The 3,946-nt window shown below is 52.0% G+C and overlaps 1 annotated feature.

Moving 5' to 3' along the window:
• Window positions 2,736-2,815: an enhancer, noted in NCBI's record as "active region_1740". NCBI's record gives its function as "activates an Ori minimal core promoter by ATAC-STARR-seq in GM12878 lymphoblastoid cells {active_cell/tissue: GM12878}" and the evidence as "EXISTENCE:reporter gene assay evidence [ECO:0000049][PMID:35858748]".

The following is a 3,946-nucleotide window of genomic DNA, read 5'->3' as shown; positions in this document are numbered from 1 at the left end:
CTTCCTGTTTTCTTGAGACACAGTCTTGCTCTGTTGCCCAGGCTGTAGTGCAGTGGCACTATCTCGGCTCACTGCAACCTCCACCTCCTGGGTTCAAGCAATTCTCCTGTCTCAGCCTCCTGAGTAGCTGGGACTATAGGCGCCTGCCACCACGCCTGGCTAATTTTTGTATTTCTAGTAGAGACGAGGTTTCACTATGTTGGCCAGGATGGTCTTGATCTCTTGACCTTGTGATCCACCTGCCTCGGCCTCCCAAAGTGCTGGGGTTACAGCGTGAGCCACTGTGCCCAGCCAGCAAACGCTCTTCCAAGGCAAATTCAAGGCAGCTTATTCCAGGCAGTTTGCTTCTCCTGTGTTCTTTTATAGAGAAATTCTTCCCAGCTTCCCCTTAATCATTTAGAGTGAGGGGCAATACTAACACCCCCCTCAGAGGATTATCGCCAGGGTTAAATGAATGATCAGGTGTAAGGGTCTGAGAACTCGTGCTCAGCATTGAAGAACCATTCCACTGGCATCGGGTGAGGCGTGTGATTGTTGCTGTCTGTTACTCCTGTTTGACTGTGGCAGGAAGGATGTGCCTTCGTGGGCATCAACCGCAGCTGCCTGGGGAAAATTGGTGCAGATTGTGCCCAGACCTGGTGATGAGCAGGGAGGAGCCAGGCAGGCCTGCAAGTGGGTGGGGCAGGTTTGAAGCAGCCCACGGTGAAGGAGGGGGCACAGCCCCTTCATGGCCCCCGGCATTGTCAGGGTGGGAAGGGCCCAGAGCTCATCGACTCAGTGGTTGTCCATGATTATAAGCTGGGAAAAAAAGACTCCAAAGTTTTCTTTGGTTCCAGCATAGTGAATATCAATCTGGTTAAAGCCTCCTGTTTCACGGAACACTGAACCGGAAGGAGGTAGATGACCTGTTCAAGTCGCCCCATGAGTTAAGTAGAGGAAGGAGCACCCAGGTTCTGAGGTTGAGGCACGGCATGATTCCTATCACCCCTCTGCTAAAATCATGGTATGGCCTCTCCTTCCCCACTGAGTCAACTAACAACACACGAGTATGTCGGTTAGGGCCTCCATAATCTCTTTCCCACAGAACAAGCCCGTGCGGGTCACTTGCAGTCTCACACGCTGGGCTTTCACATGTTCCTGCCTTTGCCTGCACAACTTCCCCTCTCTTGACCTCTCCAATCCCACTTTTTTTTTTTTAGCTGCTTTTCAAAGGCTTGCTCTTCCAGAACCTGCTTCTCCAAACTAGAAATGGCGTCTCCCACCGCAAGCGCCCATGGACTCGGCCCCGGCCTCGTAGTGCCTCTTTGCTGCCCGCGTGCCTTCTCCCTGCCGGCTTGGACTCCCCGAGGGCTGCACCTGCTCCCCTCGCTCCGTCTCCTGGGCCAGTACAGGGCCTGGCACACTGCTGGGGCCACCTAAGCGTCTGTAGGAGGAAAGCCAGGATGGGTTGGGCAGAGGCAGTGTCTCCCTCAGCTGGTCTCAGACGCTTACCGCAGAGCGGAAAATCCCAGTGTCTCCACTGTTGAGCCTCCGCAGATTTCTCACAGGGAACTCCCTCTTAATGCCAGGCCATCCTTCCCCCTTACCCTCTGGCGGCTTCCCCTCTGCTGGTGAGATCTGGGGGAGACATCCTATCTTCTCCAGCACCAATGCCCTCCAACCCCGCCCCTGTGGAGGCTCCTGTGACCCCTCACTGTGGTGGATGCAGCCTCTGGGGCTGTGGGTGGTGGGTGTGGTGGGGTGTGGTGCGCGGGAAACGCAACTGCAGCTGCTCCCCTGGCGGTGGCTTTCTTCCGACTGGCTGACTTAGGAAAACCTTTCTTCCTGAGCTTCCTGCCACCCTTCCCCATGCTTCCTGGGCTCTTCCTCTTCACGTTGTGGGCTTTTTTCTTTCCAACATTGTGTCTTGTGTGTGTCTGTGCCTCCCTCCCCTCCCTCTCGGCCTCTTCTTTTCTCTCACGCTGCCTCCCTGCCTGTTTCTTCATGCTCCTCATTTTCTGTCTGTCTGCCCTTCTGCTCCTGTTCGTGCCTGTCTTTATTCTTTCTCTTCTCTTTCACCAACATCTAGAATATGGCAGTGTGAAAGGATTAGTGGGGGAAGTGGGTCTGAGTCTCAGTACAGTAGACACCCACAAATTATCTCCTCGCTGCGCCCTGAAAATCATCTCCACACCCTGCCCCAGGGCTGCGGGGGTGCTGGGAGTGGGAGGAGAGGGTCAGAAGGCCAGGGGCAGGGTGGCTCTGGGGAAGGTATGCATTTGGGAGCCAGACTGAGCACACCCAGTGTGTTTCTGGCCCAGCAGGTTCCGTCAGGCGGGGCGTTAATTAGAGCCTGGCCCTGCAAGAGGGGAAGGTGTTATTAGGTCGAAGGACTGGTGGGCAGGGGTGGAGCTCCCAGGACGTGTGACAGGGACCTCTTGGGAACTTTCCATGGTAGGCTGGAGTAAGAAGTGTCACCCCATGGGTGGGGAGCTGGGGCTCCCTCTCAGAGTGGCTGAGAGCCCTCTGGTACCCAAAAGTTAAGCAGCTGCCTGCCTGGGAGGGGAGCTGGGGAGTTTCCTCCTCTCTCTCCAGTGCTCAGCTCATGTGCCACTTCATCTAAGAGCCTAGCTCTTGAGGTCCCCAAATTAGGATTTCCCTCTACTATGTTCACTTATAATTACTTATTTATGTGTTTTTCTCTCTCTGTCTGTATACATGTTTTAATCATCTGAATTTCCCACTAGATTATAAGCTCTGTGAAAGCAGGAACCCAGTTAGTACACTCATACTACGTACCTAGTCCTGGTGTGTAGCAGGTGCTCCGTCAGCATTTTGGACATGCTGAGCCTCAGATCTGGGGAACATGTGCTGTGATGGTCCAGTGGCATGTCTCGGGGAAGGGGGCAAGTACAGTGGCTTTGTCTGGGTCTGTCCCCACTCAGCTCCGACTGGGGTGAGGATGGGGGAAGGACCCAGTGTGTAATGACTAAGGGGTGAGAAGGAAACTGACTTGAAATGAAACCAGGTTCCAGCAGAACTACAGAGCAGATACCCATAAGTGGATAACTGAGGGGGCTGCGGGCCTAATGGCAATTGATTGTCTTTTCTGCTTGCAGACTCTGTGGTAGGCACATGGTATATGGGATTTCATCTAATCCTCAAGACAGTTCTACAGGGCAGGAACTGCTGTTCTATTGAGAAAACTGAGGCTCAGCTTGGAGAGATTAAGTCATTTCCTTAAGGTCACATAGCTAGTGCGTGTCAATGCTGAGCTGAGTTTTTGTTCCTTTGCCCATATCACACTGGCTGTTTGGTTACTTATATTCCTTTTACATTTGGTGACTGGCAGAAGACAAAATTCCAGGGATCCTCTGACTCAGGGTTCATTGGAGTAATCACTTCCCTTGATCTAACAACATTCTTCAATTAATAGGTGGTACATGTGAAACCCTCTGTAAATGCTGTAGCTCTGAATTCATGTGGTAATAACAACCCTGGCCATAGCAATGCAGCCCAAGATTGCTTTACCTCTCTGGCCACCGCATCATGCCATCAGCTTCCACTTCATCATGATTGCTATTAACCCACCTCTCATCCCTTCCTGCCTTCACCAGGCCTGTTTTTCAACCTAACTGCAAGACTCTGGTTTGTCTTGATTTAGTGTCGTATTAGTGGTGTTCCCTTTTGTTCAAATCTGTTGAAATCTTTTTGAATTTTGATGTTGTCATCCTCTATGTGTCATTGCTCACGTCTTTATCTTCAGGTTTTTTTTTTTTTTTTTTTTTTTTGAGACAGGGTCTCACTCTGTCACCCAGGCTGGAGTGCAGTGGCATGGTCTCAGCTCACTGCAGCCTTGACCTCCAGGGCTTGAGCCATTCTCCCACCTCAGCCTCCTGATTAGCTGGGACTATAGGTGTGCACCACCATGCTTGGCTAATTTTTGTATTTTTCGTAAAGACAAGGT

This window comes from Homo sapiens, chromosome 1 (genome assembly GCF_000001405.40).
Source record: "Homo sapiens chromosome 1, GRCh38.p14 Primary Assembly".
Classification (NCBI taxonomy): Eukaryota; Metazoa; Chordata; class Mammalia; order Primates; family Hominidae; genus Homo; species Homo sapiens.
The sequence above is the reverse complement of the archived record's forward strand: the minus strand, read 5'-3'. Positions and strand labels throughout refer to the sequence as shown.